Source organism: Homo sapiens, chromosome 14, assembly GCF_000001405.40.
Source record: "Homo sapiens chromosome 14, GRCh38.p14 Primary Assembly".
Taxonomy (NCBI): Eukaryota; Metazoa; Chordata; class Mammalia; order Primates; family Hominidae; genus Homo; species Homo sapiens.
Window position 1 is genome coordinate 70,224,061 of NC_000014.9, and position 13,145 is coordinate 70,237,205.

The 13,145-nt window shown below is 42.2% G+C and overlaps 2 pseudogenes across 1 annotated transcript in view; both read left to right on the top strand.

Moving 5' to 3' along the window:
* LOC646548 (ADAM metallopeptidase domain 20 pseudogene) overlaps positions 1-8,523 on the top strand; it is a 45,476-nt pseudogene extending 36,953 nt beyond the window's left edge. Inside the window, exons 3-4 of the transcript NR_135825.1 lie at positions 3,512-3,644; positions 5,958-8,523. The product of NR_135825.1 is annotated as an ADAM metallopeptidase domain 20 pseudogene (transcript). The remainder of the gene's footprint in view (positions 1-3,511; positions 3,645-5,957) is intronic.
* A 1,720-nt stretch (positions 8,524-10,243) lies between these two features.
* LOC101928010 (histone deacetylase complex subunit SAP25-like) lies at positions 10,244-11,578 on the top strand (annotated as a pseudogene).
* Positions 11,579-13,145: the final 1,567 nt, after the last annotated feature.

Here is a 13,145-nt window from a genome sequence, read left to right on the forward strand (position 1 = left end):
CGGAAGGACACTGAATTTAGGGGCAAGGCTGGGCTGGACATCCCATATGTCAATTTAATCCACATTCCAGTGACCAGAATTCACATAGCAATTTCTGCCACTAAGGACATGAATGAAAAAATTTAAGCAAACTAAAGGTACGACATGTTCCTAGAATGTTTCATGATTTTATGGCTGTTTGATAAAATGATTTCTGAAAGTCATCTAGAAGAAAAATATTTATTAAAAAAGGAAAAATTTCTCAAAAGAAAAATGACAATACTGAATAAATACATGGAAAGGGTACCTTCAGAATCGTATATGAGGATATGGTAAGTTTATAATATTGAAATAAGAATGGAATTCATATAAAAATAGACCCACAAGAGAATGGAGAGTGTGGAAGTGACATAATTTTTAAATTAGAAGTTGCTTTGAGTAGTGTAAATAGGCTTTTTTTTTTCCAGGACCAGTTAGCAAAACTTCCATCTAATCCTCGCTGCCTCCTCTTTTATTTGACAATAGAAAGAAATCAAGTGCCTAAACTTAAGAGAAGCATCTTGTGTGTCTTGACCTGGGTGGTGGTTACGCAGGCATTTACCTACGTAAAAAAATCCATCAAGCTAAACACTTAAGATTTGTTCACTTTATTTTATGTAAAGTATATCTCAAAGAAAGAGTTTGGAAAAAACAAAGGAGAGGACCTCTGAGCACTTATAACAAGAGAATCTAATTAAGCCTGGACAACCAAGGAGGCTTGTTTGAGGAGGTCATATATAAGCTGAAATCTGAAGGGTGAGTTGCAGTTAAGCAGACAGAGGTTATAACAGAACATTCTGAACACAAGGACCAGCGTGTATAAAGGTCCTGGAGAACTTTTATAGTTGCCTTTGACATTTAGATTCATGAGCCATCTGATAAATATTAATTTTTGTGTATAATGTGAGTTGTTTTATCCATTATTACAGCATCATTTATGGAAGAAATATCCTTTTTCTATTTATCTGCTGTCAACCCTATTATATACCAAGTTTCAATATTTGGATGAGTTTTTCCAAGGCTTCCATTCTATTCTTCTGAAATACTTGTCTACATCTCCACTAATAGCACACTCTCCCTAATTACTAGAGTTATATAAAGACTCGCTGTAACTGATAGGTATTCCTCCAATCTTGAAGTTTTTTCTCAAGAGTGTCTTGGCTGTTTTTGGCACTTTATTCTTCCACAGTATTCTTCCCGTAATATTGGTACGGGGGCGCAGGGAAATGCTAGGAAGGGAAGGGCATGGTCCCTGGCTAGGGCTCCACCTCAGGCTTGCGGTCACAGACCTAGGTGAGGACAGACATTTCTGTTTTCATGTCCAAATGTTGCATTTCCCAAGACCACCTGGCCTGCCACACCCCCATCCTGTGCCTATAAAAACCCCAAGACCCTAGTGGGCAGAGACACAAGCAGCTGGACGTTGAGAGGAACACATGGGCATAAGAGCACACCGACAGATGCTGGCAGGAGACTGGTGGAACAACGTGGAGTTCGGCTGGGGCGTCGGAGGAGAGCCCGGCTGCTGAGCACCCAACTCCAGGGGAAAACCACTTTCCCACTCCATCTCCCTTCTGGCTCCCCCATCTGCTGAGAGCTACTTCCACTCAATAAAACCTTGCACTCATTTTTCAAACCCATGTGTAATCTAATTCTTCCTGTACACCAAGGCAGGAAACCCTGGGATACAGAAAGCCCCCTGTCCTTAAGGGACAGATAAGGGAAGGGGTCTAATTGAGCTAACACAAGCCACCTACGGACAGCTAAACTGAAAGAGCATACTGTAACACACGCCCACTAGGGCTTCAGCTGTAAACATTCACCCCTAGACGCTGCCTTGGGTTCAGAGCCCCACAACCTACCCATCTGCATGATCCTGCTAGAGGTTTGAGCATCCAGGCACCTAAGAAGCAAGCCACACCCCCATCGCACACCCTTCTAGGGGCACAAGTGAACTTTCCCATTTCGATATCAGCAAAATACTTTTTAAAGTTTTCACTGGAATTGCAGTAAATAAATACATCAATTTAACAGAGAACTGACATCTTTATAATATTGTCTTCCAATCCGTGAATATGCTGTATCTCTTGTTTTGGTAACTAATTTGTGAAAGAGTTATAATTTCCTTAGTAAAGGTCTTGTGTACCTTTGCTAGCTTTTTCTAGGTACTTACATATTGAGGATCCTGTAAATATTATTTTTAGTTTCTTGTGGCCATAATAAAACATAATTATTTTATGTAACTGTATTTTATGTAATAAACATTCTAATTGCTCTTAATTGAGTAATTTATCTGTGGATTATTTTGGATTTTCTACAAAGAAAATCACAACCTTTGTAAATTATGACAGTTTTACTTTTTTTTTTCAATCCTTATACATTTATTTCTTTTCTTGCCTACTGTGCTGGCTTGGAACTCCAGAACAATGATTAATGAAAGTGATAATACATAATCTGTGTCTTGTAATAAATCTTAAAGAGAATGCTTCATTGTTGCACAGATAAGTATGATGTTTGTTGTAGGTTCATTTTAGTTTGCTAATGGTTGTTTTTTATTTAAATTATGAATAGATGTTAGATTTTAGCCAAGTAATTGCATTATTGGATCTGATTATATAGTCTTTCTTCCTTAATCTTTAATATGCTGAATTATATTGATTTTCAAATGTTGAAACAATATTGCATTACTAAAATAAATTCAACTTGGTTGTAATGTACTGTCTTTTTTATACATTGCTGTATCTGACTTAATATTTGTGTAGGATTTTTAAATCCATGGTCATTATTGAGGGCAAGCTATAATTTTCTTTCTTGTGCCCTCTTTCTTAGGTTTAAGTGTCATGATTATACCATCTCTTAAAATGAATTGAAGAATGTTCAATGGTACAACATTGGAGTTATTTATTTCTTGACTGTTAGGTAGAATTAGCTTATAAAACCATCAAAGCTTGTTTTCTTTTTAGGAAGATTTTAAACTACTCATTCAAATTTTCAATTGAAAATTTTATTGAGATAATTATAGGTGGTTATAAAAATAATAGAGAGATCTCATACAGCTTTTACCTAGTTTCTCCCAATGGAAGAAAAATATAGTTATTAAACTATAGTACAATAACATAACTGGGTTGTTAACATCAATAAAATTCACTGGGCTTACTCAGATTTCCTCAGTTATATTTGTACCCATTTGTGTGTGAAAGTATGTAGCCACTCCTGGTTTTTTTAAATCAATGTTTGCATGGTAAATCTTTTTCAGTTCTTTTACATTCAGCCTATGTAATTAGATTTGAAGTGAATTTTTTATACACAGCATAGTGTTGTGTCATTTTTATTTATCCACTCTCCTTCTCTCTGTCTTTAGATTGGTATATTAAGATCATTTACATTTAAGGTAATTATTGTTAATTCTTAAGTCTTCCATTTCATTATCTATTTCTATTTGTTATAGCTAATTCTTATTTGTATTTGGTTTTTGGTTTTCTGTTACCTTCAGGTGTGTATTTGTTCATTCGCGCACTGCTATAAAGAAATACCTGAGACTGGGTAATTTATAAAGAAAAGAAGTTAATTGACTCAGTTCTGCAGGCAATACAGGAAGCAAGATGCTGTCATCCGCTTGGCTTCAGGTGAGAGCTCAGGAAACTTACAATCATGGCAGAAGGTGAAGGGGAAGCCATCACTTTTCATATGGCTGGAGAAGGACAAAGAGAGTGAAGGGGGAGGTGCTATACACTTTTAAACAAACAGATCTCATGAGAACTCACTCACCATTACCTGAGAAGATGATGCTAAACCATTCATGAAGGATCTATCCCCATGATTCAATCACCTCTCACCATGCCCCACCTCCAACACCGGGGATTACAATTCAACATGAGATTTGGATGGGGACACAGATACGAATCGTGTCAAGCTGCATCTAAGTTACCGCAAAGGCATGATTTCATTCTTTGTATGGCTCTATAGTATTCCATAGTGTGGATGTACCACATTTTGTTTATCGAATCCACCATTGTTGGGCACCTATGTTGGTTCTATGTCTTTGCTATTGTGAATAGTGCTGCAATGAACATACAGATACGTGTGTCTTTTTGGTAGAACAATTTATTTTTCTTTGGTATACACCAAGTAATGGGATTGCTCAGTTGAATGGAAGTTCTCTTTCTAATTCTTTGAGAAATCTCCAAACTACTTTCCACAGTGTCCTTTGGCCAATCTTTAACAGTAGATCTGCTAGCTGCAAACTCTTGTAGTTCTCCTTCCTTTCAGAATGTCTTTATTTCCTCTTCATTCCTGAAGGACAGTTTCACATGATATAAAATTCATGGTTGATAGCTCTTTTCTTTCAGTACTTGAAAAATGTTTTGCCACTTCCTTCTCACTTCCTTGTTTTCTGATGAGAAATCTACTGTCACGGCTAACCGGTTTTCCCAGCACCATTTATTAAATAGGGAATCCTTTCCCCATTGCTTGTTTTTGTCACGTTTGTCAAAGATCAGATGGTTGTAGATGTGTGGTGTTATTTCTGAGGCCTCTGTTCTGTTCCATTGGTCTATATATCTGTTTTGGTGCCAGTACTATGCTGTTTTCGTTACTGTAGCCTTGTAGTGTAGTTTGAAGTCAGGTAGCGTCATGTCTGCAGCTTTGTTCTTTTTGATTAGGATTGTCTTGACTATACGGGCTCTTTTTTGGTTCCATATGAAATTTAAATTAGCTTTCTCCAGTGAAGAAAGCTAATGGTAGTTTGATAGGAATAGCATTGAATGTCTAAATTGCTTTGGGAAGTATGGCCATTTTCACAATACTGATTCTTCCTATCCATGAGGATGGAATGTTTTCTTCATTTGTTTGTGTCCTCTCTTGTTTCCTTGAGCAGTGATTTGTAGTTCTCCTCTAAGAGATCTTCAGGTCTCTTGTAAGCTGTGTTCCTAGGTATTTTATTTTCTCTGTAGCCATTGTGAATGGGAATTCACTCATGATTTGGCTCTATGCTTGTCTATTATTGGTGTATTCGAATGCTTGTGATTTTTGCACATTGATTTTGTATCCTGAGACTTTGCTGAAGTTGTTTATCAGCAAAAGCAATGGCAACAAAAGCCAAAATTGACAAATGGGATCTAACTAAACTAAAGAGCTTCTGCTCAGCAAAAGAAACTATCATTAGAGAAAACAGGCATCCTACAGAGTGAGAGAAAATTTTTGCAATCTATCTATCTGACAAAGGTCTAATATCCAGAATCTACAAGGAACTTAAACAAATTTACAAGGAAAAAACAAATAACCCCATCAAAAATAGGACAAAGGATATGAACAGACACTTCTCTAAAGAAGACATTTATGCGACCAACAAACATGAAAAAATGCTCATCATCACTGGTCATTAGAGAAATGCAAATCAAAACCACAACGAGATACCATCTCACGCCAGTTAGAATGGTGATCATTAAAAAGTCTGGAAACAACAGATGCTGGAAAGGATGCGGAGAAATTGGTATGCTTTTACATTGTTGGTGGGAGTGTAAATTAGTTCAACCATTGTGGAAGACAGTGTGGCAATTCCTCAAGGATCTAGAGCTAGAAATACCATTTGACCCAGCAATCCCATTACTGGGTATATACCCAAAGGATTATAAATCATTATACTATAAAGGCACATGCACACATATGTATATTGCAGCACTCAAAATTCTTTTAAGGAGAAGTTTCCACTTTCCTTATCGTTGTATACGCTTCCCTCTTTTAATTACATGTTGAGTCCTTCCCTCATTTAGGCTTGAGAAAAATGTCCTTAAGTGTCCTAAACTTGCATTAAACCCACTTACTCATCAAACCCCACTTATGACTTCCCTTAGAGGACAAGAGACATTTCAGCTCAGTTATATACTGCTGTTCTCAATTCCTGCCATTTTTTTTCCTCTTCCTTTGACCTGCTGGCCTAGGTCTCCAGCTCACTGAAAACAGCCTCCCCTGATGAGCACACCATTGTTATGTAATAGCCTAACCCTTACCCCTCGCCTATCAGGGGGTGCCAAGCCTGCAGACTCACTCTGCTTTCCTCATAACTGCCCTGAGGAGAAGGCTGAAGACTGAGGAATCCTCTTTCTGCCTCCCATTTGACTGCATTTTCTTTGGTCAGAGTCTCCCTTATTCATGGGACCTGCCTGGGTCCAGGACCCCTTGACAGGTGCTCTCTGGCTGCCTGTCCTCTGGGCACTCTTGTCCCAGGTCTATTGTTTTCATGACCCACCAGGATGGCGCTTCACTTCCTCAGAAATTGTGATCCCCAGGAAAGTGCCCCACAGGAGGGGTGGAGTTGAGATGCCAGACCAGCTCTCTTACAGCATGCATTTCCGGGGCCGAAGACACGTGATTCACATGAAGCTCAAGAAGAACATGATGCCCAGACATTTACCTGTTTTTACTAATAATGACCAAGGGGCCATGCAGGAGAACTACCCTTTTGTCCCACGAGACTGTTACTACGATTGCTACCTGGAAGGGGTTCCTGGGTCTGTGGCCACATTGGACACCTGCCGTGGAGGTCTGCGTGGCATGCTGCAGGTGGATGACCTGACTTATGAAATCAAACCCCTGGAGGCTTTTTCCAAATTTGAGTATGTAGTATCTCTGCTTGTGTCAGAAGAAAGACCAGGAGAGGTCAGTAGATGTAAGACTGAAGGGGAAGAGATAGATCAAGAATCTGAAAAGGTAAAACTGGCTGAAACTCCCAGAGAAGGCCACGTTTATTTGTGGAGGCATCATAGAAAAAACTTGAAACTTCACTACACAGTTACTAATGGATTATTCATGCAGAACCCTAATATGTCACACATAATAGAGAATGTAGTGATTATTAACAGCATCATACATACCATTTTCAAACCAGTTTATTTAAATGTCTATGTACGTGTTTTGTGCATATGGAATGATATGGATATAGTAATGTATAACATGCCTGCCGACCTGGTTGTAGGAGAGTTTGGTTCGTGGAAATATTATGAATGGTTTTCACAAATTCCACATGATACCTCAGTTGTTTTTACATCAAATTGACTTGGAAACAGTGAGTGTTATGCCAGCTTTGACGGAATATGCAACCCCAACTGGGGAGCAATGTTTGTGTATATAATGAGGTATCACCTATTTAGGGGGGCATGTGTTACAGCACATGCACTAGGTCATAACATGGGCTTGAGACATGATTCTGTTGGTTGTTATTGTTTTCGACGAACCAACTATCTCATGGCTCCTGTTCCTGATCTTAATGATATGATGAGCAATTGTTCTTATGAGATAATTCAACGCAAGTTTAATCAATGGGATCCTTGTTTGAGTGCTCCAAATTTTCCATACCTAATTTTCCATACGTAGCTCCTCGTTGTGGAGACAATATCAAAAATCAGAGGGAAGAATGTGACTGTGGCTCCCTTAAAGATTGTGCCAGTGATAGATGTTGTGAGACCTCTTGTACCCTTTCTCTTGGCAGTGTTTGCAATACAGGACTTTGCTGCCATAAGTGTAAATATGCTGCCCCTGGAGTGGTTTGCAGAGACTTGGGTGGTATATGTGATCTACCAAAATACTGTGATGGGAAAAAGGAAGAGTGTCCAAATGACATCTACATCCAGGATGGAACCCCATGTTCAGCAGTATCTGTTTGTATAAGAGGAAACTGCAGTGACCGTGATATGCAGTGTCAAGCCCTTTTTGGCTACCAAGTGAAAGACGGTTCCCCAGCGTGCTATCAAAAATTGAATAGGATTGGTAACTGATTTGGAAACTGTGGGGTTATTCTACGGCGAGGGGGAAGTAGACCTTTTCCATGTGAAGAAGATGATGTTTTCTGTGGAATGTTGCACTGTAGCGGTGTCAGCCACATTCCCGGTTGAGCTGAGCACACTACATTTCGTAATATATTAGTACACGACATAAAAGAAGAAAAATGCTTTGGCTATGAAGCACACCAGGGGACAGACTTGCCAGAAATGGGGCTGGTAGTGGATGGTGCAACCTGTGGCCCAGGGAGCTACTGTCTTAAACACAATTGTACTTCTTATCAAGACCTGCATTTTGAGTGTGATCTTAAAACATGCAATTACAAAGGAGTATGTAACAACAAAAAACATTGTCACTGTCTGCATGGGTGGCAACCACCAACATGTGAACTGAGAGGAAAAGGAGGTAGTATAGATAGTGGCCCTCCACCTGACAAACAATATCGTATTACAGCCAGCACACTTGCGAATATAAACTGAGCACTACTTTTAATATTTACTCGTTGCATCCTTTTTCTGGTTTCACTTCTCTTTGGTGGCTTTTCACAAGCAATAGAATTTATGGAAGAGAAAATAATGAAAACTACTGAACCTAATGAGTAAATACTAATGGAAGCCCACACAATGGAGAAAATCACGTTGACACTTACTGGGAGTTATAATCAATAGTCACTCTGACGGTTACATCACCTTTTAGCAATTCTGATGTCATCTTGAAGTAAAATCACTTGGCAATTTAAAAAGGGTCTGTGTGTTTAAATTTACTTCACATTTCATGTGTGGTCGTATTCTCAATACTTCTATAGATGACGGCAGAAACTCTTAGATTCACTAACAAGAGGACCTGTACTCATTTAAGATTTGGGGCTAATGTTTTCTAGATACCCCTGTGGCAAATCCCGTGTACACTAATATACATTTGTTCACACTCTTAATTTCCTTTTTTTTTTTTTTTGAGGCAAGGTCTCACTCTGGTGCATAGGCTGCCAGGCTGGAATGCAGTGGCACAATCTCGGCTCACTGCGACCTCTGCATCCCGGATTCAAGCAATTCTCCCACCTAAACTTCCTGAGTATCTGGGATTACAGGCACGCGTCACCACGCCAGATTAATTTTTTGTATTTGTAGTAGAGACAGGGTTTCACCATCTTGGCCAGGCTGGTCTCAAACTCCTGGCCTCAAGTGATTCATCCACCTTGGCCTCCCAAAGTTCTGGGCACTTGGTACACGCTGTCTGCTATCATTTTCATTATTCTCATGATTTTTGCATTATGCTAAGCCTGGGGAATCCCATATGTAATGTCTCTGGCTTTTTGTCTTTACTGTTACAGAAAGGATCGTTATTCACTGTTAAATCACTTCTCAGTTTCTCTGGATATAAAGGTATGGGATCTCATATTTAAAATCTCCAATAATTGGCTAAGCCCAGCCTATCTATAAATTACAGGATGGAACTGACAGTCTGATAAATGTACAGACACAAAATCTTACCTAAAGGAAAACTGGAAGAATCACTTCAGAAATAGTGCACTAAGGTTGGGCATAGTGACTCACGCCAATAATCCCAGCGATTTGGGGGCCTGAGGTGGGAGGATTCCTCGAGGCCAGGAGTTTGAGACCAACCTGGGCAGCATTGTGAGACCATGTCTCTATAAAATATTAAAAAATAAGAAAATTATTCAGGCATGGTGGCACATACCTGTAGTCCTAGCTATTCCAGAGTCTGAGGAGGGAGTACCAGTTTGAGACCAACCTAGGCAACATAGTGAGAATCTATCAACACAAAATATAAAGAAATTAGCTAGGCATGGTGGCACGTGCCTGTAGTCCTAGCTATTCAGGAGGCTGAGGCAGGAAGCTCAATTGAGGCCAGGAGTTCAAGACCAATCTGAGCAGGATAGCAAGACCCCATCTCTAAAAAAATTTAAAAATCAGCCTGGTGTAATATAGTGTGTCCCTATAGATCCAGCTACTTGGGAGGCTGAGGCAGGAGGATCACTTGAGACCAGGAGCTGGAGGTTACAGTAAGTCATGACTGTACCACTGCACACCAGCCTGGGTGACAGAGTGACGGTGTGTGTGTGCGTGTGTGTGTGTGTTTGTGTTTTAAAAACTTTTCTCTTGTTTTTAGGGCTTGTCATATGCAACAAGAGGTGATGTTCCAGGTCAAATAGTAAGAGGGAGCTGGAGATGTGGAAGAAAAGAAGCAAGGGGGACTTTAAGAAGATAGGGATCAGGGGTTGCCGCGAGGCCTCTGGGGTGGGTTCGCCAGGAGGGCAGGTTCGTGCGGCACCTCGGAGGGAGGCTGAGCGGGCCGCGCCGGGCGGCGGGTACACGGCGGTATGGTCCTGCGCTCGGGAACGCGGAATGTTCCCTGGTCGCCGCCGCGGTGGGGCGCGGGCCCGGAGGAGGCGCCCGAGGGACCAGGCCTTGCGGCGGGCAAGGACCAGGAGGCGAGCCCTGGAGCTCCGGAGCGGACGCCCCCAGGGAGCTGGGGACACCCCCATGGGACAGCCCTTCCTGGACCCGGAGAGAGCAGCTGCTGCTGCCCCACCACCCGCCAGGCCCGGCCACTGAGCAGCCCCCCGGAACCCCAGATCCTCGTTCCCCCCAGGTGGCCTGGGAGGTGGCCCCCTCGAGGATGACTCCACTAGCTCCCTGGGACCCCAACTACGAAGCCAAAGCAGGACCTCGGCTGGTTTGGGGGGCCAACTGTAGCTCAGGAGCCTCGTTCTCAGGCCAGACGGTGTGTCACCCCTCGTTCTGGCCGCTGTACGAGGCAGCCTCGGGCAGGGGTCTCAGGCCCGTGGCCCCTGCCACAGGGCATTGGAATGGACAGCAGGCGGCCCCGGATGCAGGGTTCCCGGTGATGTGCTGTGAAGACGTCTTCCTCTCGGACCCTCTGCTGCCCCGGGGGGCAGCGTGTCCCCCTGTACCTGTCCAAGGCCCCCCAGCAGATGATGGGCTCCCTGAAACTGCTGCCGCCGCCCCCCATCATGTCTGCCAAGGTTCTCCCCCGCCTGTCACCCTCCCTGGGCCCCTCCACTGCCTGGCTCAGCGGGCCGGAGCTGATCGCTCTCACTGGCCTGCTGCAGGTGAGCCAGGGGGAGCCTAGGCCCAGCTCCTCCGTGGCTGGCCCCTCAGGCCCTACCTCTGACCCACCCAGCCCCTGTGGTAGCCCCAGCAGTTTTCAGAGTGCTGACCTCTCTCTCCCACAGACCCCAGACACCCATTGTCCATAGCCTTCTCGGGGCAGAGTGGGCTGGTTGTGTTGACAATGAAACAGTGTTGGTTTGCAAACAAACAAACAAAAAGAAGATAGGGATCAGGATAGAAGGGAGGTGAGAATCAGAGGCATAAACTGAGGTAGACAGAAGGGAGGAGTCCTTTGGGAAAGGAAGACCATGGAAGTTGTTGAAAACAGGACTCAAGACTAGAGACTTCAAAATCTTTCTTTTCTTGGTTTCTTCATACCAATTAAAGTAAGTTATTCATGGAGTGTCAGCTATTCTGCTACCCTGTTCTTCTAAGGTGACACAAAAATGCACAAGTTTGACATGTCCCAAGTAACCAAAGGCAGTGCATTTCAAATTTATACCTGATGAAATCACGCCACTTAAGAATTTAACAGATCGATCAACATTGCACCAGACCATATGTCTACACAGATCTGGCCAGGTGTTTGGGTTAAATAGGAGTTTCCGTAGTAGAAGAAATTTGAGATAATAGAAGAGTCTTGTCCCACCTTAGGAAAGTTGCCTAAACTCTCTGCACATCTAAAGAACTCTGAAAGACGGAAGGAAAATGCTGACTTCAGTCTGACAAAAGGGTACCTAGAAAAAAGTCAAAGCATGCAACCACCATGCTCTGAAAGAAAGTCAGATGATGGGATGATCTGTGCAGCAAACCACCGTGACAGTGTTTACCTATGTAATGAACCTGCACGTCCTATCCTGCACATGTACCGCTGACCTTAAAATAAAAGTTGGAAATCAAGAATAAAAATTTAAATGAGGGAAAAAAAGAAAAGAATCAGAGACCAAGAGCAGGGCTTACCTCTTCACCCAAGGAAATTAGGGTGCTTTGATAATGCTGTCTTTGACACAAAACTGGGCAGTGTTGGCATTTTGTCCAAAACTATTCCAAGTAACAACACAAAATTATTAAATATATATATAGTTTTTTTAAGTGACTCAGACAGAGGTTAAAGGCTTGATTCAATTGAACTACATGAGGGAGTACCTGAAGACCAGGTGATATCACAAGTGAAGCAGGGTCAAGGTTTTTACAAGATGGGAATGTTTCGAGTAGCTGTCCTTGTCCTTTCAATTTTAGCATCAGTGTTCACCTTAACCAAAACTCATAGATGGAGACTATTCGTATTTCCTTGTCCCTTCTTTGGAGTCTAATAACCAACAGAACAATAATTCTGAGAACTGTCTTTACAAACCTCATGGGTTTTTGGATAGCTATGGGCTGTGAGAGGTATATAGTTTTTTTTTTTTTTTAAAGGGTTGCAGGGAGGGCACTGGGCATGGTTGTTTGTGCCTGTAATCCTAGCACTTTGGGAGGCCAAGGTGGGAGGAATGCTTGAGCCCAGGGCTTTGAGACCAGCTTGGGCAACATAGCAAGACCCCATCTTTATAACATTAATTTTGTTTTAACTTTAAAAAAATAAAGAGAAGAAGGAAAAAGAAAAAGGACAAAAGTGGGAGTCAGGGAGAACCCAGAGCACTTGCTGTAATGTTTGTTTTAAATCTTTTGCACCTTCATCTCAGGAGGTCAACACTACTGCACATATCCATTCACAGTTACCATTGCGTTGGGTGGTTCCAAGTGGCTCCCAAGTGAATCCCCTAGTTTCTCCATATAATCCTCCATGCCTCTACTGGGGCTCAGCAGCCTTACCTCCCCCTGCTATCCAGGGTCAATTACTCCTGCCAAAATGACTTTTCTTTTTACCTGCTAGTCCTTGAACAGAAGATGTCCCAGACGCCCTGAGGGCAGCTTGCAGGTCTATGGAACTTATGCTGGGTCCCCTGGCAAAGATGCATTCTCTTTGTGGACCAAGACCTGCCTAGAGAACAGATAGTTGCAGAGACGGAAGCAGATCAGTGAATCATCAAGTGTGATGATAAGTGAGGCCACCCAGCTTCTCTTCCTTGGTTCTGGGCCCCATATATTCTTTCTATTGCATATACAACACCATGTAGGAATCTCTGACTTAATATACACAATGCATTGTGAAGGCTGGCACTCAATTCTATTCTTTCAGAATATTGTTTCTGAGCTGGCACTCTGGCTCTGCCTTCTGCAGGCCATTCTAAGCACTTTTGGAGAATAGATGCTACT